Below are 22,475 nucleotides of genomic sequence, written 5' to 3' on the forward strand. Positions count from 1 at the left end.
CATCCTGCCTGTATCCTGACTTCTCTCTCCTGCTGCTCCAAGCCTGACTGCCTCCCTCTGGATGTTGCTTTAGCTGTAGTCGGCTTCACTCTCACTTCCCACTTTGCTCTTCCAACACTGGCTCTGCTTTGTGTGGGGTAATTCCACCCCACACCTGCAGAAAGTAGGCCGGACCTGGTGTCCTGCTCCTCCTTGACACATTAGGAGACCCCGCCCCCACTCCAAACTCATCCTGGGCACCACATCAGTTGAGTATTCTTGTAGCACAGCCTCCAGGCCCCAAAACTCCATGCTGCTCTGAGCTCTGCCAGCTACAGAGCTGCCCCATCCTTCCTGTCTGGTAGGATATACATGCAGTCTCCACCTCTCTGACTTTGAACTCTGCATACAGTCAGTCTTTCTCATCCTCCACCTCTGATGATAAGCCTTGGGAAGTGTCTGATAACCCCCTCCAATTTCATCTGTGATACCTGAGGTGAAGCCCTCACCTGGCTCTCCTTGATTCTGTCTAGAAGAAAGTGGGAGAATAGAAGGAAGAAGAGAAGGTGGAAAAAGTGGCTTTAAAGTGCCCTGTAGCCCTTGAGATGTGAATCTTATACCCTCCTATTCCCCTAAAGGGAAATGGGAACAATGAAGATGATAAGTTGGTGGGTAAAACAACAACAACAACAATTCTAAGAATTGCTAACACATATAGTGTTTATTTCGTGCCAAACATTCTAGTCTCACTTGTTTGCCGTTGGATCCTTACGACATTGCAGAAAGCACTGCTGTTATTCCCAAAGGTGTTATTTTTTCAACGTGATGTAGTGAGGTCTAGTGTAAGACAAACATAGATTCAAATTCAGCTCTGTCATATTTTAGTCTTTTCACTTAAACAAGTCATTTCATTTCTCTAAGCCTCAGTTTTCTCACATGTACTACAGAAATAAGAAAGGAGATTTGCCTATAAATGCTTAGCACAGGACAGGACATAATCCCACCACACTGGCTTTTTTCTTTATTCAGAAGGTATTCAAAGTGAGCATTACAGAAATTAACATACCTAAGTGACAGGGTTAAAATATAGGAGTTAAATGAAAAGCTCAGTATTTTCTCCAAGCTATGTGGATCCCAATTCATTCATTCATGCATCCATTCATTAAATAGATACTTTTTGAGCACCATCTGTGCTTTAAGCACTATTTTAGGTAGGTACTAGGAATACAACAATGAACAAGACAGGCAAGCCCCTACTTTTACGGTGCTTATATCTAGTAAGGTAAACTGATAATAAACAAGTAACAAGAATATGTTAAGCATTTTGAAGTAGATACAGCAGGAATAATTTAATGTATCTCCATATGCCAATACACACATGAGCACACATATACATGCACACACATGCACATAACACATGCGCATGCCCAATCACAGGCACACTTGGATGCAAACTCACACCCACACACCTTTGCCTGTGTGCTCTTTCAGTGTCTCCTTTTACATTATCTTTACCCCACTCAGCCAGAGAAATCCATTGCCTTAGGGAGGATTAGGAGACTTACAGCAGTAATACTGAGAAAGCATCTATATGGAACTTTTGATTCCCAAAATAGTCACCCAGAGTATTCAGAGACTGGAGATGTCAGGCAAGACTTCTCCTGCCAGAAAAGAAGTGGATACTTTCTGTAGAGAAGAAGTGGGATACTTTCTGCAGCAGAAGAAGGCAGAGAGCTCTGTGGGTCCTCATCCAGGATGGAGATGCTGCCTTGGTCTCTGAAAATCACCCCTAACACTCAATGCTGGAGCCTCAGCCATAAGATGGGGTGATGCTGCATAATCCCTGTGTATGTGAGGGCTCCTCTTCCCCACCATGCTCACGTTAAAGCTGGATTGGTAAGCAGAAGGAAAAGAGTGAAGCGTGTGGAGGGGTGGCCCTGAGATGCTGCTCCAATCTTCCCATTTCTAGGAGATAAAGAAGCTTCCATGTACCCCGGTGGAGGGACTGGACAATGAGGTCCTGAGTGGACAGTGGACAGTCAGAGGCCTGAAGCTGGAAGGGGAGCCACTAAGAGCTGGGATATCATGGCTAGAGTAAAGGGTGGTCTCTACCTAGAGTGGAAAGTCACTGAAAGTTTCCAGTAAGGAAATTATATGATCCAATGCATATTTTTAAAAAGTTGCCTCTGGTGATGTGTAAATAATACTGTAGGGGAACAAGAGAGGAGTGGAGATTTGTCAGAAGGCATGCCCCATGCAAGGGGTATGGCCATAGCCACACAGCTAACAGCTGAGGCTGGAGCAGCTGGAGCCCTTCGGGTGTCTCTGGTGCTGTGGAGTCTCTCCATATGTCTCTTCCAGCATAACAGCTTCAGGGTCACCGGGCATGTGCGTATCAGTCTAGTACTCCAGGTTGTGCCATAAGAGAGTAAGTCAGGTGGAAGTTGCATCACTTTTCTAACCTAGCCCTGGAAGCATCACTTCTATTCTTCAGAAGCAAAGTACTAAGGCCAGCCCATATTCAAAGGGAGTGTCTTCATCCATTTGTGCTGCTATAACACAATGGCTTAGACTGGGTAATTTATAAGCAACAGAAATGTGTTTCTTCCAGTTCTGGAAGCTGGGAAGTCCAAGATCAAGGTGCTGGCAGTGTCAGTGTCTGGTGAGGGCTTGTTCTCTGCTTCCAAGATGGTGCCTCTTGCTGCATTCTCACATGGCCAAAGGGGCAACACTGTGTCCTCCTGTGGCACAAGGGCCAAAGGGCAAAAGGAGGTCTTGCTAGTTCTCTCCAGCCCTTTCATAATGTCCCTAACTCCGTCCATGAGGACTGAGTCCTCATGGTCTCATCCCTTCCCAAAGGCTTCACCTCTTAGTACTGTTGCATTGGGGATTAAGCTTCAACATGAATTTTGGAGGGGCACAAACATTCATAGTGGGAGACACCACCTCTTGTGTAGTCTGTATAAGAAGCATGTAGATATGACCACGTGAGAACTTGGCTACCTTAAGACTGCCACGCTGGAGAGGCCACGTATTGACACTCCAGTGAAGAGGCTAGGTGAGCCCAGCTTCCAGCCGTCCCACTGAGGCACCAGACGTGTGAACCCCCAACCATCCTGGACCCTCTAGAACAGCCTGTCTACCAGTGGAATGCCATCTGGTGGACCTCCACCAAAGCCTTGTGGAAGAGTTACCAGCTGAGTCCTGCTCAAATTCCTGGTCCACAAAATTATAAAATATAATTAAATGATGGTCGTTTTAAGTCATTAAGGTTTGGAATAGTCTGTTACACAACAAGAGATAACTGTAGTGTTGGGGAAAATCCATTATTTGGAGGCAACGAAAGGTTGGGAAGAGAGAATCAACAGTTCATTTGTAAACCTGTTAGGCTTGAAGTTAATGATGTTGTCAACAAGGCAGCTGAAGAAGTGAGGCTGGAGCTGCAGGGAAAGGCTGTGTGGGACCCATGGGCTGTGTAAGTGTCAGGGGTAGCTATGATTCAGCAGGGAAGCACTGACTTGCACACTTGATAGAAATTCTTGGATCCAGTTCAGCCACTCATTCATACATTCATTCATAGTGTAGGCCTGGGTAAGGTATTTCACCTTTCTCATTCTCACTTTCTTCATTTGGAAAATGAAGAGATCTTGTGCACATGTGAACCAACACTACCTGTATAAAATCACCCAATAGACCGGGTACAGTGACTCATGGCTGGAATCTCAGCACTTCAGAGACCAAGGAGGGAGGATTGTTTGAGTTCAGGAGTTCAAGACCAGCCTTGGCAATATCACGAGACCACCTCCCCCACCACCATCATGACCCCATCTCTTCAAAAAATTTAAAACTTGCCTGTAATCCCAGCTTCTCGAGAGGCTGAGGCAGGAAAATCGCTTGAGCCCAAGAGGTGGAGGTTGCAGTGAGCCAAGATCACGCCACTGCACTCCAGCCTGGTGACAGAGCTAGACTCCCTCTCAAAAAAAAAAAAAAAAAAAAAAAAAAAAAAAAAAAAAATTACTCAGGCATGGTGGTGACACATGCCTGTAGTCCCAGCCACTCAGGAGGCTGAGATAGGAGGAACACTTGGGCTCAGGAGGTTGAGGCTACAGTGACCTATGATCACACCACTGCACTCTAGCCTTGATGACAAAGTGAGGCCTTGTCTCTAAAACAAAGAAAAAGTACCCAAAAGAGCCTCTTTCCCTATGCCTTCCCTCTAAGACACAACAAACAGCCTAAACCGAAGCCCAATATGAGGATGGAAACCCTCATATCCGCCTGTGGTATTAATGAAGTAGGAAATATGGCTATTTATATTGTCATTGTCCAGGAAAATACCTTGAAAAGGACAATGTCTTAAAATAAAGTGTAATTTCTAAATTAAAAAAATGTTGAACATCCAGGTCTCAGGTGACTCTCCCATCTTGTGGAAACAAGCAGGAAGCCCACGTTATTATTTTCTTCTTTACTCAAAACACTGAGGAAAAAGAAATCTTCTTTTCCCTTTTTTAGTCCTGAACCACATTCACATCCCTGCCTCCCATGGAGACTTTTCTTCAGCTGCAATTTACAAATGTGAAAAGCTCCCCTCCAACCCCCACCCGAGACACACTTTATTTAGGAATAAGAAGGAAGGAGGGCCCTGCTGTGTCCTCCTTTTGTCTCCGTCTTCTTTCCTCTCACACGAGTGACACAGAAAGAGAAGGAAAATTATGCATCGAGGAAGGCCCTGAATGCAAGACTAAACAAACACGCGACAACCAAAACTGGGGTCAGAGGCCTGCTTTCCAAACTAGGTCTTGGGGGTGGGTGGAAATCGCGGGAGCTGCTCTATTGAAATTTGCTCTGGCTTCTGGGAGCCACATGTCCTGTCCAACATCCCCGCCCCCCACAACTCCCCACCACCAGACAAAAGAATTTCTCTTGTAGAAAAACAAGATCAGAAGACCATAATTGTTTAATTGTTTGTTGTTGTTTTCCTTAAGTAAAACATGGCAAGTGTATGTTAATGTATTTGGGGAAAGGGAGATTTGGCTGGAGGGCACAGGAGGCTGGAGGTGTATGCTAATTGCATGTTCTCTATTAAATCCTCCAGGTCCCTAAAGCTCCCTCCTCCCTGGCACAATATCACAGAGGTCTCAGAGGCTGCTTTGAGGCTTTTGCAGAGGCTGGAAGACAACCCTTTGGAGTTCAGCTATGATGATGACTGAGTTTTATTCTGGCCCCACGGTGATGGGCTATGCCACTGAGCCTGCCTTCTCCTGGAGAGAAAGGTGCCGATTACAGGCGGCAGGGTGGGGACAGCACAACAGGCGGGCCAGAAGCCCTGGCCCGAACTAGATTTGGACCTAGAGGGCTGCTCGCAAATGAGCTCAAGCCTTGCATGCGCCTCTCAGCCGCCGGCATGGACTGTTAGGGGCTTTTTGAAGTAAGAGAAATATATCTCCCAGCAGCCTGGGATGGAGGAGATAAAGGAATAAAGATTGAAGTGACAAGGCACAAAGTGAACAGCTGCTCCTGCTGGTTTGGCAAAAGGAAGGGTGGAGAGGTTTAGGGAAAGATACACCCTGAGCCTTAAAGGTGACGTCAGGGAGCATGGCCTTCCCACAGCCACGGTTCACTGAGGTATGGCAGCGTAGTGTCCAAGGGACCTTCCAGGCAGCTTGCACAAGCCTCTCCTCCTCCAAGGATGGAATCTCCCTGCCACCCACACTGCCACGTCTCTGCCCGATTCCTTCATGAAGGGCGACAATGCCTCCCGGACACACACCCCATATTTCCAAGGCTCTGACAGCTTTGTGCTCCTCATGCAGCCTTCAGACAGGCGCCCTCCCCACCTTCCTCCCGGCACTCCGTCGCTCCCGCTGACCACCATCATGCTATACCATGCCGGGTTTTGAGGGGTGAGCTGCTAATGGGAATGAATGTGGCTTGTATCATGTTTAGGAGGGAAGCATCCCCATCTGGTATCCAGAGGCTGGGGTTTAGCTCAGCTCCCATCTGGCTCCGCAGCTATAGGAAAGTTGCTCCTCTGCTTTCAATCTGTTATCCATCTGTAATGGTGGGATGACCTGGGTGATCTTTGAGTGCCCTTGTCCCTCCAGCCCCAGTGATTCTGTCTCCCTGGTACCACGATCACAAACTGGATATTGAGCTGATGAGTTTGACCCAGCATGGCTCCTCTGATGCCGGTGGGCTTGGTGTTTAAGGCAAATTTTAATTATAACTCTAGGAGGGTGCAGCACACATCAAAGCACATCACAGAGAAAATAGGAAGTAATTCATCAGAAAACAAAAGCTGTGAGCTCTGGAGACAGAGAGTAAGGGCTGTGTTAGTTTCCTCTTGCTGCTATGACAAATAACCACAAACTTAGTCGCCTAAAACAACACGCATTTACTCTCTTACAATTCTGGAGGTCAGAAGTCCAAAACAGGTCTCACTGGCCAAAGTCAAGCTGTTGGCAGGACTGTGTTCCTTCTGAGGGTTCTAGGGGAGTGACCATCTCATCCTTCTAGCTTCTCAAGAGGCCTCCTGCACACCTTGGCTCATAGCAGCTTCCCTCATCTTCAAACCAGCAGCGTAGCACCTTCCAATCGCTCTCTGACTCGGACAATCACTCTCAGACCTCCCTCTCTACATTTAAAGGATCCTTGTGATTACATTGAGACCTCCCAGATAATCCAAGATAACTTATTTATTTTAAGTTCAGCTGATTAGCAATCATGACTCACCAAGCCTCCACAATTGCACGAGCCAATTCCTTAAAATAAATCTCTAGACAGAGAAATGGATAAACAGGTAGATAGGTAGACAGATAGATAAATAGATAGATAGACAGATACACACACACACACACACACACACACACACACACACACACACACACACACCCTATTGGTTCTGCCTCTCTGGAGAACACTGACTAATAGAAACTCCCCCAAATGTATTATAATAATTGTCTAATACCTGTATTCCTCATTAGATTATAACTTCCATGTGGCAGAAAACAGGGTCTGTTTTGCTCAATCTGAAGCACACAGGGTACTAGTCAGCATCTGCCAAGACTCACAGCTCCGTGAGTTATGATGCTTTCTTCAATGCTGCAGGTTGGATGCAGGTTCACTCTTACATGTGTTTTCACATTTAAAGATCCAGCCAATGGCAGAAATGTATAATCCTCTTACAGGGGAAAAAGCAAGTAATTGAGAAAAATACAATCTACACTATGTAGGATAGTGCCTGACATAAATATTATTTATTGAATAGTGGTGTAGATGAGCTGCCTCTATAAAAGAGGAGAGAGTTGGGAAGGATTGGGTAGGCCCTGTACATTACCATCTCTTTTAATCTTCATAACAAGTTTTCCAATAAGGACTTGTAATTTCTATTTTGCAAACGAAGCAATTGTGGGCTAGAGTGAAAATCAAATCCAGTTCTCTCTGGCTCTAGCATCCAGACTCTTCATCTAATCTTTTTACCCTGAAGAATTATTGGGAGGATAAAGCATGGCAAAATGTTGTCTTAAAGGATTGACATTTACTATATAAGCACAAATTATCATTAGCAGTGGGAAGTTTGATTAATATGAATATGGACTACAAAAACAGTAAAAAGCTGATAGATTAAAACTCTCAGGCCCTTTATATCTTATGAATGTAAAGAAATGCTTGAAGTGAGAGCTAGAATCCAGGTTTCTCCTCCATCCAGGTCCTTTCCTACCACATCTCTCTAGGCCAAAGCTTCTTTTTCCTATGGCAACATGGAGTAGTTGACATGTAACTGGCGAAAATTGCATTTGCTTTTCACCATCTACTAGGATAAGAGAGGCAATGATCCAGTAATCCAATTGCCAAGTGCCAATTTCATTTGAGATAATTGCTGATAAAATCAGAAAGAAAACTTCAGCAAATCTGAAAACAGATTATGGCAGAATTCAGTGGCACAATGGGCTGATATTAAATATTGTTTCAGTGCTTGGGATCAGACTTCATACTGACTCTAGATGAACACTGGGCCACGGGATTTGGATTAAAGCCAGGCAAAGCCAGGTCTCCTGTTATTTATGGTACTTGGATTCTGAGTTGGAAGCAGATTCCTAAAGCAACCTTACCTGTTTCCACCTGAAGCTCACAACTATTACAGATTTGGATTCAAGAATAGCTTGACCTGAAATTGCAGTAATCTCACTGTCTGTGCCACTTATGTACTCCTGCCATCATTCCTAGCCTCACGTCCTAGGAGGTGGATATTACTTTCTTCATATAACTGCTGAGAATTTGATTCTTGCTCAAGTTCACATTGATAATAAGGGACAGAGCTAGAATTCAAACCTAGGTGGTTTGTTTTAAGGGACTTGATCTCCCTATTGGACCACACTGCCTCTTAATACGTTCTGAATGATGGTAGCCATATCATATAATTGAGGGTCAAAAATCTACCTTGGATAATCCTATTTAGCTTTCTACTATGATTAGTTTAATTTTATTACTGCCACAGTCTGCTTCATAAATGCAGCACAGAAAAAGCCGAATGTAATTAAAATAGCTAACTATTGAAACAGATGTGCATCTGCAAAGCTGAGCACCAATTGAATTTTTAAGCAACATATCGTATTTTATATGCAAAAACATCTCCATTAATTTGTTCATTCAACAAACAATTATTAGTGCCTTGATGCCAGCAGTCACTTTAATAGATCCTGGGAACACAGAGATGAATGTGACCCTGTATCTGTTTTGAGAAGCAGAGACTTTAGTGAAGGGGGATGACCAAAGAAATCATGTGATGACAAGCCTCCTCCTTAGTCACCCCTCTCCTTTACACCCAAGACCACCCCTCTCACAAGGCTTCTATCCCAGGGCCATCTGCAGTCCTTTCCTGCTCTCTGGCCGTGCCCATCCACACTGTCCTGAGACTGTGGCTCTGTGAGCTCATCCTTGTCTTCTCTGCAAGGGTCCAGGTTAATTCTGAGCATCAGTAGTGGCTTCTCTACTCACATGACCCAAAGAGACCTGGATGCAATAGTCAGACATATTTCCACTGCTTCCCTCGCCTCATGGAAATCTAGCACTTTCCTATGCAATTTCTGCTAAGTCTAGGGGGCTCACTTTCTCAGAGCTTCTTCAGCCTCTTATGTTCTTATTTTATGTGCTGTTTCTGTCCTACATCATGCTGACCTCAACATGAAAGCAAGCTCATTCCTAATTTCTGCATGCATGCACAAACACACATGTATGCATGTATGCAGACAAAATGCACACATGTACACAGAGCACACATATGCTCACATTTGCACAAATACACATACACACAAGCACACATACTATGATGGATACTTTTATGTGTCAACTTGACTGGGCTAAAGGGTGCCCAGATAGTTGGTAAAACATTATTTCTGGGTATGTCTGAGGGAGTGTTTCTTAAAAGATTAGCATTTGAACTAGTAGAGTGAGTAAAGAAGCTCTGCCCTCAGTAATGTGGGTGGGCAACATGTAATTCATGGAGGCCACAGATAGAACAAAAAGGCAGAGGAATGACAAATTACCTTTATCTCGCCTTGTGCTGGGACAATCACGTTGTCCTACCATTGGACACTGGAGCTCTTCAGGACTTTGGACTCTGAGACTTCCACCAGTGGCTGCCAGGTTCTCAGGCCTTTGGCTTCGGACTGAATTACACCATCAGCTTTCCCAGGTTTCCAGCTTACAAATGGCATATGTGGGACTTCTTGACCTCCATAATTGTGTAAGCCAATTCCCATAATATATCTTCTCTTCTGTATCTCTCTGATACATTTTGTTGGTTCTGTTTCTGTGGAGAACCCTCACTAATAAACGCACATACACACACACAAACACACACACACACACACACACACACACACACCACTTATAATAAGCATTCATGAGTTTGGTAAACTTTACTGAAGATTTGGTGCTGCAGGTGTGGGGGATGGGGATAGCATTGCACACCACACAACTCCCAGCTATCTTATTTTCCCACCTGCCCTCCTTCCTGCCATCCCTGCTCCCTACTATTCCCCCCAGGATTGTCCTGGGATACTCTGGATTCTTCTTTCCTTTACACAGAATAATTCAGCTCCCACCCCCTGCATGTCCTCACATACCTATCCTGTCAAACCCAACAAGCAGAGCAAAAGGCCTTCCACATAATGCTTTCACCTTCTATACATAGCCCTTGTAATTTTAGCTTAAAAAACTTGTTTTTCTACATGCTGCACTTGTGGATTAATTCACTTAGCAAATTCACTGAGCAATCCTGTGCTAGCACTGTGCAGGGGCAGTGAGATGCAGCAGTCAGTGGGACACTCAGCCCCTGCTTGCTCTCAAGGAGCCCATTGACTGGCAATTACAGCACTCAACTGCCTTGGTTAGTTTATCACAGGAAGGGGCATTAGATGTCCCAGAACATTCAACAACCAAGGTGTTGCTCTCATCACAGCCTGACCTTCAGCACAGCTTTGCCCCTACTCTGCCTCTTTCTGCTTCCAGATGAAGGAGTCCTTGGGGTCCCCAGAGTGACTGGCAGGTGCTCCAGATGTCCACTGAGCAGGCTGAAGGTGGGGGCCAGAGGAAAAAAGAAGCAGACAAGTGTTGGTGTCCAGAGTTTCTTGCATAGACAATGAGACAGACTGGTGGAGACAGTGACAGGGTATCCTGGATGAGGCAGGGAGGCAGGCAGCCTCAGGAAACCCATTACCAAGAAGCAGGCCAAAGGCCACAGTGGAAGCACCAGGCAGCCCAGCCTTGGGAGAGGGAGGGAGGCAGAGGAGCAAGGGCCACTGGCTGGGTAAGGCCGAGCCACAGATCTGTGTACCTTCCCTCTGCATAGCACACAGGGCCTCTCCCAGCATTCATGCTCATTCTTGGAACAGAGGAGGACTGCAGACGGCATTTTGTGGTTTTAAGGATACTTTGGGGAACCATTTGGAAAATAAATTAAGCATTGGCAATGGGAAAAATCACTCCAGAAGCGATTCGGATCTGGGCCTTCCTAGAATGGACTTCTGAAAGTAGGGCCTAAAGATTCTTTCTAAGAGGACAAAGCTGCTGTTTGTGAAGACAGAAAACTTTGGGAAACTTCCAGGGGAGCCAGGTAGGAAGCAAGTGATGGTTTCTGGGCCCAGGGAGGAGAAAGCAGACTGAGTCAGTGTCCTCCAGGAAGATGTAAACATGCACACACTGATCCCTACATGTAGGGATGGAGAGCAATGTTAAGGGCCAACTTAACGACTGCTAGCACATGTCCTGTGAATTAACCCATTTAATACCCACAGCAACCTATGAGACAGGCCTGGGGCCACAGTACATAGGGAGACCCTTACCTCGTCTTCATCCTTAGTCTGTCTCTTATCACGAGGGGGCAGACATTCAATGCATGGACTGTCCAGTCACAAGTTGAAGCTCAGTCCAGAAACCTGTTGCAATCAGCAGCCCCTTGGACACCCTGCAGGCCTAGGAGTGTCATGGCACTGTCTGCCCTGAGAAGGACAGGCCAGGGAAGAAGCCGTGTGGGCCCTGCAAGGCCATGGGTTAGAGGCTACTTAGGCCAGGAATTCCTAAGCTCCTCACACCTAGAATGTGGTGTGGCAGCGGGTATGGAGGATCCCGGTGAAACGTGCCCCGGTCCCCAGAGAAGGATGTGGCTGGAGGAGGCCAGAACAAAGCTCTCCAGAGCATGGCCTAGGCTGCCCTGATCTAAGGCAGTACAGCTTGTTATCATTGGTTCCATTCTCACAGATGAGGAAACCCAGGCCCCAGAAGGTCAAGTAACTTGCGCAAGGTGAGGGAGCTAAGAGGAGGCAGAGGTAGGATTTGAATGCAGGTGGTCTGACTGGCTCTCACAGATGGCTACCCCTGCCTCCTAAAACCTCAAGGCTCACAATAAGTTTGTGTCTGTGTGTGGCAGGGGGTGCGGGGGTGGGGGGTTAAGCAATTACTTAAAAAAAATTCTGTTTATTAATTTTTGGAGTTACATAGTAGGTGTATATATTTATGGGGTACATGAGATATTTTGATACAGGCTTTCAATGCTTAATAATCACATCAAGGTAAACGGAATATCCATTACCTCAAGCATTTATCCTTTCTTTGGGTTAAAAACAATTAATTAGATTATTTTAGTTATTTTTAAATGTACAATAAATTATTGTTGACTGTAGCCACCCTGTTGTGCTATCAAATAGTAGGTCTTATTCATTCTTTCTAACTAGATTTTTGTACCTATTAACTATTCTTCCTACCCCCACCCCACTATCCTTCCCAGCCTCTAATAATGATCCTTCTACTCTCTATATCCATGAGTTCAATTGCTGTAATTTTTAGCTCCCACAAATAAGTGAGAACACGTGAAATTTGTCTTTCTGTGCCTGGCTTATTTCACTTAACATAATGATCTCCAGTTTTATCCAGGTTGTTGCAAATTACAGAATCTCTCTTTCTCTCTCTCTTTCTCTCTCTCTCTCTCTCTCTCTCTATATATATATATATATATTTTTTTTTTTTTTTGAGATGGAGTCTAGCTCTGTCACCCAGGCTGGAGTGCAGTGGCGCGATCTTGGCTCACTGCAACCTCCGCCTCCTGGGTTCAAGCAGTTCTCCTGCCTTAGACCCCTGAGTAGCTGGGATTACAGGTGCCTGTCACCATGCCCAGCTAATTTTTGGATTTTTAGTAGAGATGGGGTTTCACCATGTTGGTCAGGCTGGTCTCAAACCCCTGACCTTGTGAACCACCCGCCTCGGCCTCCCAAAGTGCTGGGATTACAGGCATGAGCTACCACCCTCGGCCAGAATCTCATTGTATTTATGGCTGCATAGTTATCCACTGTGTATCTATACCACATTTTATTTATCCGTTCACCTGTTGATGGACACTTACGTTGCTTCCAAATCTTGACTATTGTGAATAGTTCTGCAATAAGCATGGGAGTACAGATATCTCTTTAATATATTGATTTTGCATCTTTTGGGTATATACTCAGCAGCGTGATTGCTGAATCGTATGGTAGCTCTATTTTTAGTTTTTTGAGGAACCTCCAACTATTCTCCATAGGGGTTACACTCACTTACATTCCCACCAACAGTGTATGAGGGTTACCTTTTCTCCACATTCTGGCCAGCCTTTGTTATTGCCTGACTTTTGGATGAAAGCCATTTTAACTGGGGTGAGATGATATGGCATGGTAGTTTTGATTTGCTTTTCTCTGATGATCAATAATGTTAAGCACCTTCTCGTATACCTGTTTGCCATTTATATGTCTTCTTTTGAGAAATGTCTCAACCAAAACAACCCACCAAAGTGAAAAAATGTGTTTGAAATGTCAAGTTTTCTTTTAAAAATGTAAAGTTTGCACACTAGACCAAAATATCCCAGTATTTGCTTTAACTTAACAATTATGTTAAATTACTAATATTAAACACAACCCATACTCCAGGAGGGCTTTCTGTGTTGTGCTGTGTCCTGCTCAGCATGCTGCTAAGCTCTCCCAGTTGAGAGCATCACAATGAGTGATGGAGGTCCACTGAGGGTGTAGGGCAACTTGATTAGATGTCTCTTTTGAATTAAATGTTTTTTCTCTTGGATTATCTACACTGATAAAATAAGCCATCAACTTCCTCTGTTTTGAGGAGCATACACCAATGGCTTCTGCCCACAAATTCTTATTCTTCAGTCCTATATGAGGCCATATAGGATACAGGAAAATGGTTATTCTCAATAAATTATAAAAAACAATAAAAACTGTGTGCATTTGGCCTGAGTGGAACAGGAATCTCCCTTATTCCCACCTGTCTTTCAGGGAGGGGGTCCCACTCATGGAATTGGTCAGATTCCAGGCAGGTGATCGACTGCACCCTGCAGGTCAGGACATGAGTGTGACCCTGTTTCCTCTCTCTCTCTCTCTAAATGGGTTCTCGCTCCCTCTCCTCTTTTACATCCACAGTAGAAGTAGTAAGAGGTGCTCTTTCCTGGACTTACAGGTGATGGTCAAGAGGTGATAAGATTGGCAGTCTGGTTTGGGGGTGGGGTAGTAGAAACCCCCTGGACTCCTACTTGAGGCCACTTGGCTTAGCTCATTTTATCAGAGTGCTTTGCTTTGGGGGCTGGAGCCCACATCACTAGGCAATCAAATCTCACATTTAGTTTTGCCTCATACTGTTTCCTGTGTGTATGTCTCCCTGTGGATTTTGTGTGTATGTCTTGTGTTTCTCGTGTGTATGTCTCCCTGTGGATCTCACTGGAAGGATGTCTCTGGCTTGGACTAAGATTCCGATGCGCCTGTACTCCTCAGCCATAATATCATCTTAGTGCCTTGGAAAAGCACCCCAAGCCCAGCCTCATTCCTTTATTCAAAACATGTGTATCGAGCACTTACCATGTGACAGGCGCTGGGAATACATTAGAGAAAGAAGGTGAAAACTGCTAGCCTCATTTTAGGGGACAGGGAAGACACTTGATGGCAAGATGAAAAGGTAAATTATATATTATGTTATAAGGTGAAAAACGCTAGTAGGTGTGATGAAAATAAAGCAGGGCAGGGGGACAGGGTCCAGTTTTAACTGGAGTACTCAGGAATGGCATGACCCGGAAGATGACATTTAAGCAAAGATTCAAAAGAGGTGAACCCAGGCCAAGTGAGTTGTGGCTAAGAATCCCTGAGGACAGAAGGCAGGTTCTATGCAAATGCTGGGGGCAGGACAGGGCCGGATGTCTGGGCCAGGAAGAGAATGGAGGGCCAGGCCAGGAAGGGCCTGCAGGTTTTTTCAGGACTGTGGCCTTGACTCCTGGTGAGGTGGGACCCACGGAAGGTGAACACAGTCTGAGGTCTGTTTGCAAAGGTGCCCCCTGGCTTGCAGAGTTGAGGAAACAATCTGGGGAGCAAGGTGAAAAGCGGAACAGTTCAGAGACCAGCAATTCCTGAGAGTCTACGTGAGGTCATGAGGCATGGTTGATTCTAAATTAATTTTGAAAGTAAAGGCAACATGGTTTTTTGAAGCATTAGGTGTGGAGTATGAGAGAAAAAGAGTTTTCAGCCTGTGCAATGGAAAATAGGACTCATCCTTGAACTGAGATGGAAAAAATTGTGAAGGCTCAGGTTTGGAGGGCAATTCCCTTACACTTCATCCTAAATAACATAATTGTTATTTACAGGGGTACTGTTTTGGAATTGGAATTGGGCTCTGCCTGTTAGTAATGGTATAAACATGGTTAAATCATTTAACCTCTTGAGGCTCCATTTCCTCACCTCTCACCGGTACAATGGGAATAATACCTTACAGGTTTGTTATGCAGACTGGCCGTAACTTGGTAAAGTGCCTTGCGTGGTGCCTAACACATAGGGGATGTTCGATTAATGCTAGCTGAATGAATGCTTGAATAAAAGAATGAGTGAATGAGTGAAATGCCTGTGGACATGATAATTAAGTAAGGAAAGGCCAGAATGTGAAAATTAAGCAGGAAAGGCCAGAATTATGTACACTGTGTGTTCATTCATTCCTTTTTCTACTGTGCATTTAAACACATAGGAAATTTGTAGGCAGCTGTGATTCCTAGTTTAGCCAACATTCTGCAAAAAGGTGCACTGCTTTGGTGGTAGATTTTAAACCTGTAAGAAAATGGGAAAGCAGTTGGTGACTTTCTTGTCCTACCTTTTTTGGTGATGAGCCAGGAAGACAAGGCAGCAATTGTTTTTTATTTCTTAACCAATGATCCAGACAGAGAAAGCAGGCTGTTGGATTAAAGTGTTTTACTCTTCTTCTCATTGGCATCCTGGGCAGTCTACAGCTGGTCCAGTTTGTTACCAAATAATGAGATGGATTAAATTATCTACCGGAACATAATGGGTTACTTGCTTAAGGGATAGAGCCCTGTTTTTAGCTTTTTCTTCTATCCCACATAGCGGCAAACCTGAGCAGGTAGAGTAGGTGCTTAACAAATACGTGCATGGAATTTGGTTCATTTAGCAACCACGTGTCAGGGAACAATGCCAAGCTTTGGAGTTATAACTCAGAATGTCACCCTCCAGGTGGTGGACGTGCTAATATTCTTACTGATTGTAAACAGGTAATGGGCACCTGTTACGTGTCAGATCCTATAGGAGACCTGACTATGATGTAATCCCAAACCTTCACAGTAATCCAATGAAGTATTATTATCCCTATTTTTAGGATGAAGACACAGAGGCTATGAGAATTAGACGATTTGCCCACAGTCCCACCATTACTATGAATCGAAGTCAGTATATTAACTTATGTCAGCCTGACAATTTTCATTACATCATGAAAAGAAAAGCCTCACTCCCGCTTGAATAAATATTTCCTCACCAGCCTGATGAGTACAGTGGGACCAGACTCAAATTCCGTGGTTCTCATCTAGCAAGTCTGGGTTTAATTCAGTTCAATTGGCTTTCTTATTTAAGCAAATAGAGGGCACCAAGAGCTGTTCCATGCACCGTGCAGAGACGAGGAAGAGACCCATCTATGGCTGACGTCGTGCCTGGGTGAGTGGGAACCCCAGTGTCATCCTGAGTCCTGCAGGGGCTTTGCCAGCTCCGAGAGGATACACAACAGACAAAGGTGCAATGGTTTATCAAGCTCCCTATTCCCATTTCCACCAAAAATATTGAGATGTTTTGATATTTTGAGTGAGAGGGAAATGGATAGAAAAATGAAGAGACAGAGGGAAGGAAAGAAGAAAAGAACAGTAAAAGGAAGGAAGGAAGAAGAGAAGGAAGAAGGAAGGAAGGAAGAAGAGAAGGAAGAAGGAAGGAAGGAAGAGAAGGAAGAAGGAAGGAAGAAGGGAAGGAAGGGAGAAGGGAAGGAAAGAAGAAAGGAAGAAGGAAGGAAGAAGGAAGGAAGGGAAGGAAAGAAGGAAAGAAGGGAAGGGAAGGAAAGAAGGAAGTAAGGGAGAGAGGGAGGGAGCAAGGAAGGAAGGAGGGAAGGAAATAAAGAACAAAGGAAAGAAGGAAAGAAGAAGGTAAGGAAAGAAGGAACAAAGGAAAGGGAAAAAGGAAGGAAGGAAAGAAAGAACAAAGGAAAGAAAGAAGGAATAAGGGAAGGATAGAAGGAACAAAGGAAAGAAGGAAGGAAGGAAGGAAGGTAGGCAGGCCTACTGAAGGAAGGAATACTAAATGCCAACTGTGTGAGAGACTCTGTGCTTGGTGACTTATATGAAGGAAGGATTACTAAATGCCAACTGTGTGAGAGATTCTGTGCTTGGTGACTTATATGAAGGAAGGATTACTAAATGCCAACTGTGTGAGAGATTCTGTGCTTGGTGACTTATATGAAGGAAGGAAGGAAGGAAGGAAGGAAGGAAGGAAGGAAAAATGTGAGTTACTTCTATCAGAGAATTTCTGTTCAATTTAAAACAAAGCCTTAGGTACAAAGAACAAAACCACCACGGTGAAAACTCAGAGATCAATTAGCAGAAGAAGACCGTATTCAGGGATTTGAGACACATTCCAGAGATAACTAAAATTGTATTATGAGGACTCTGCCTATTTTAAAAATTTCTTCGCAGCCATGTACCATAGAGGGGGAAAAAGAGGGATGAGATGCAGGATGGGAAAGCACTTTGTATTGGAAAAATAATGGTGTTGATACCCTTCAACAGATCTTCAAGCAGTTTGTTTCTTTGCTTAATTAATTGTAGATTGCAGAGAACTCATTCTGTGACAAGACTCTGTTCAATTGACATGACTACCTAATGAAATATAATTTTATACTATTTCAGAAATATCATCTACTAGATGTTGATTATATAGACATTAAAACAAGCGTGGGTTATTTGGCCATATTTTTCTTTCCTTGAAATTTTATCCTCATAGGTCTTCAATCAATTGTTTTGTTCTGTGTTTCTTCCTGTTAACACAAACCTCCTTTTCAAAGTTAAATTATGCTGTGGAAGAAGAATGCAGCTTTCAAATATTATAACAAAACATATATGAGATAAATAAATATCTATATATTTAGCATAAAAATAATTCCCAATTATTTTGGGGATGGTAAATGAAATCACCATCATTGTTTTTTGTCAATGATTCATAATGGAATCAGAATAAAGGAAAATATTCAGAGGGTGTCTATTTCAATAGATTTAATAAAATAAGTTCATAGACCATTGGAGGTAGGAAGATCTTAGAAATAGCCTTATTCTATATTCCATCGTTTTGAAGATGAAGCAATTAAGCAAAGAGAGGCCTATGACAATGAGTCACAAGCTCTTAGGCCTCCAGTGAGGTAGGTGGAGGACTCATGACAAAGGGTTCTCCCTCTAGCCTGTCCCTTTCCTGAACATCTGAGTTAAATGGGCCACCCGCTGTTCTTCATTCAGAACATTTATCACCACTTCTCTTTTCCATATTGATGTGTGAGCTTATTTGTTTCATCTATGTCTTCCTCAGAGAGAAGCACAGGGAAGATTCCATGAAGCCACAGCCCTTTCCCTGTTGTGCCTCAGGCCAGGCACATGGTGCTCAATGATTGCTGAATAGATAAATGAATGAATGACTGAGACACATTCTGATCATAGTAGACGTAGAGATGATAACCTGAATTTTCTGAACACCAGTTATAGGAGGAAGAAAAATAACACCTTTTTTGGCTCACATAGATTTCACTTTTATTCAAATGGATGTGATTTTTTTTTTTACGTAATTGACTTTCTAGATCTGATATATAACAAACTATTAAGTAATTTCACATTCTCTTTCACACTTGGAGCTGCAAAAGCCCTGAAACTTGATGCTTCTCATGAGTACAGGAAAGTATGCCATGTATTTAAAGCTCTCCCCACCTCCACCGCCTTAAAAATTCTCCAGATAATAGCTACAGGCATTTTTTTTTTCTAAATGCTGAAACTGATTATTCATAACTAGTTTTCCTTTTCTTTTGTGTTTTAAACTACCACAGCTCAGAACAAATCAGCCCAGTATGAATTTGTTGGATATGAAATGTAGGCAGATGGCTTAAGTCACTTATATTAAAATGTATTTTTTGAACCTATTAATGGAAATACTTGCCACAAATTCAGGGCTACAACAGTGATGAGTCATTTGTTCGTCTGTTCAGCTAACATTTACTGAGAACCTCTGGGCTCTGGCCTCCAGGAAAGCACAGCCCAGTAAAGGGGATGGGTGAGCCAGCAGCAGGCGGCCATGCCATGAGGAAGCCCAAAGCTCTGGCAGCCCAGTGGAGGGGCACTGCGTCCAGGAAGGGCATGGCAACAAGATGAGTTGTGAAGGAACAAGTACAAGTGTGAGGGAGCCACAGGAGGAAGGAGGGGAGTGTGGTGTCAGTAGGGGGACAGGAAAATGATCCTTTAGGAGGGAGAACAAGGGCAGAAAAATGTGGCTCTCCCAGACCCTGGAGTACAAGCATGAAGCAGACAAGCTATAAATGCGGCTATATTAGTCTGTTTTCATGCTGCTGATAAAGACATACCCGAGACTGGGTACTTTATAAAGAAAAAGAGGTTTAATGGACTCACAGTTCCACGTGACTGGGGAGGCCTCACAATCACAGTGGAAGGCAAAGGAAGAACAAAGTCACATCTTACATGGCAGCAGTCAAAGAGAGAATGAGAGCCAAGAGAAAGGGGAAACCCCTTATAAGATCATCAGATCTCATGAGACTTATTCACTACCACAACAACAGTATGGGGGAAACTGCCCCCATGATTTAATGATCTCCCACCAGGTCCCACCCACAACAAGTGGGAATTGTGGGAGCTACAATTCAAGATGAGATTTGGGTGGGGACACAACCAAACCATATCAGTGGCTCACAGTCCAGGGGCTAAGAGACAAGTCAACAGACAATTACATTATAATAAGATGAATGCTTTGTCTGGGGAACTTCAGGGAATTAGCCCATACCTAGGATAGGGTCTCCGTGGAGTGAAGAGGAGAGATCATGGTCATACATAGACCCTGCTCAAATAAGCGGTTACGTGAGCTCAGGAAGTCTTATGATGGGCCTGGGAAGACAGGCTATGAATACATATAGGGGTAATTCTGAGAAGGAAAAGTTTCACCATTTAGTGCAATGCCTCATCGACTGAGAAGCTGAATAACCTTTGGCCTCAATTTCTTTATCTGTGAAACAGGAATGATAATATCCTTTGATAGACGCTACACAAAAATCTAATTTCAAGTACTGCCCCAGCCCCCAGCCCAACCTCAACATTCCCAATGTTTTGGCCTCTTGACATCTTCTCAGCTTCCTTCTCAGAAATCTGTCTTAATTCTTGTTTCAGAAAACGTGGCTTCTTCAGGAAAAGTACTGTTTTAGCTCAGAGATTATTCAGACATTACTTCCAGCTGTGAGGAATCAGTGCAATGCACTCATGCTGGAATCACTGGAATTGTCTCTCTTCCTCTCCCTTGCCTCTCATGCAATGTCATCAGGACTCGACAATTTACCAAGTCCCCAGATCTGTACAATGCACAAAGGGAGATAAAGGAAAAAAGAATAAAAGAGGAGGGAAAAAGGGAAAGGACAGGAGGGAAGGGAGGGAGGGAGGCAGGTGCAATTTCAGCCCCTTGAAAAGGTAAATCTTTCATAAGTTAACAAAAAGACATCAGGACTAAGTGTGGCTAAGGTCCTGGCTTTTTCAGATCACTTCAGATCTCTGTGGCCTGGAGCAATCCAGTACTTTCCTGAAAGAAGTGAATACTAATCAAGAATAAGACTGAGCACAATAGGTGTAGGAGACTGGTCACATAGGAGAATGTCCTCTCCTGAAGGAAGTCCACGCGTGGGCCAGGGACACAGGAGACAGGCTGGGACACCCTGGGCAACAAACTCCTCAGGGATGCATGGGCAGCCCCATCACTGAGCAAGTTAGCACAGCCTCAGTTCTCAGAAAAGAACAGAATGGGGAAAAATAGAATCCTCTTTACTGAGATATTGTGAAGAGTAAAGAGAACATTCATGAAAAAGGCTTGGGTTAGAAGAAGTGCTCCACCCACTGGTTAGCTACTGTGATGATTCTGGATTTGACTGGTGAAGCGGGCAGGACCGAGGGTTTGGAGTTAGATCCGCTTGGTTCTGAAGCCCCCAGACTTACTGGTTATGTGTGTGATCTCAGGAGGCAATCGTTAATTTTGGAGGATGCTTAGCATAGAAGAGCAGATGGACAGATAGAGAGCACCCCGTGATTTGTTAAATGCCTACTGTGTGAGATACTCTGTGCTTGGTGACTTATGTGAGTTATTTTATTTAAAATCTTCTGCATTGATGATGTTCTCTCTGTTATTGCTATCCCCCATTTTTATATAATGAACATTGTAGTTTTCATTTTGTAGATGAGGAAACTGAGCCTCAGAGTGCTGACATGACTGGCTGGGGACACACAGCCGGACAGCTGCAGAGCTGTTGGATCCGCAGTTGTCTATCCCGGAGACCCAGCTTTGCTCTGCCGCATCTCAGATTTGACCCTCGGCCTCTGCTGGCCATCATGGTCAATTCCTTCACATCTTAATGGTTCCCTCGTCAGAGGGCCTTTCCCTCAGCACTCCACCTAATTTTGAGATGTTCCCTGAATCATCTTTATCATTGCACTTGGTCTTTCCCTTTCAGAGAACTTACAACAATCAGCAACTACATTCCTTTGTTACCATAATAAAAATATGAAACTAGTGTTTATTAAAGATGGATATCATCCTAATATTATTCTAAGCACTTTTCTTGTATTATCCCCTTATATTTCACATCAGTCTTATGAGGCCAGCTCTTAGCAACTGACATGTTAGTTTATTTCATTCCATAACAATGCTGTGAAGATGACACTGATATTTTAATTTCTTAGATAATGGACCTGGGACACAAGAGGCTAAGTAACTCCCTCAAGGCCATAAAGCTAGTAAGCAGTATGCATGCCCCTCCACTAGACTCTATGCTTTTTGAGGGCAGGGAACTTGTTCCACAGCCTGAAATAGTAGCAGGCACATCATAGACAGTCAGTAAACACTGGAGTCAATATAGAGATGAGTACCAAGGGAAAAGAACACAAAGGAGTTATGATGCTAGCGATGAGATTTTTTCTGTGCTCAGAAACAGTTGCTGTATCTCTGACTACACTGATTTATTATGCTGATTTACTGAGCTTTGTAAGTGCCCAGGTGCTGGCTTAGGTGCTGCAATCTGGGGAGCAGTGTGGGTGTGTGTACTTGTGTGCATGTGCACATGTGCTCATGTATGTGCATCTGTGTATAAGTGCATGCGTGCATGCATGTGCATGTGTGATGGGAAGATAGGTTAAGGTTGTGGAATATCTGTTGACTCTTAGTTCACCGTTATGAAGTTCTGGCAAAGGGACCAGAACTTGAAACTATATAAGCCTATGCCACCCCCAGGGAGAGAGACCAGCCACAGAAGGAACTGTTTTCTTGGTGCAAAGAAAAGAATTATGAGTAGAAGGAAATGATGGAAATGGGTTAATAGCCAGAGTCAGAGGAATATTAAATTTTAATGCT

General features: G+C 44.0%; 1 long non-coding RNA gene across 2 annotated transcripts in view, besides 1 other annotated feature; it reads right to left on the bottom strand.

Annotated features, from left to right (window-relative positions):
* The window catches only part of LOC101927872 (uncharacterized), a 53,621-nt gene that overhangs the window by 17,821 nt on the left and 13,325 nt on the right, over positions 1 to 22,475 (bottom strand). Inside the window, exon 3 of one of the 2 annotated variants that reach the window (XR_002956732.2) lies at positions 17,094 to 17,896. The exons of the other annotated variant lie outside the window; for it this stretch is intronic. This is a non-coding gene — a long non-coding RNA (uncharacterized LOC101927872). Of the gene's footprint in view, positions 1 to 17,093; positions 17,897 to 22,475 lie in introns of those variants that run through there. 2 annotated transcript variants of the gene reach the window in all.
* Positions 18,006 to 18,593: an enhancer, noted in NCBI's record as "OCT4-NANOG hESC enhancer chr8:136452424-136453011 (GRCh37/hg19 assembly coordinates)". NCBI's record gives its function as "activates a minimal SCP1, AML or CMV promoter by ChIP-STARR-seq in naive H9 embryonic stem cells {active_cell/tissue: H9 hESC(naive)}" and the evidence as "EXISTENCE:reporter gene assay evidence [ECO:0000049][PMID:30033119]".

Source organism: Homo sapiens, chromosome 8, assembly GCF_000001405.40.
Source record: "Homo sapiens chromosome 8, GRCh38.p14 Primary Assembly".
Classification (NCBI taxonomy): domain Eukaryota; kingdom Metazoa; phylum Chordata; class Mammalia; order Primates; family Hominidae; genus Homo; species Homo sapiens.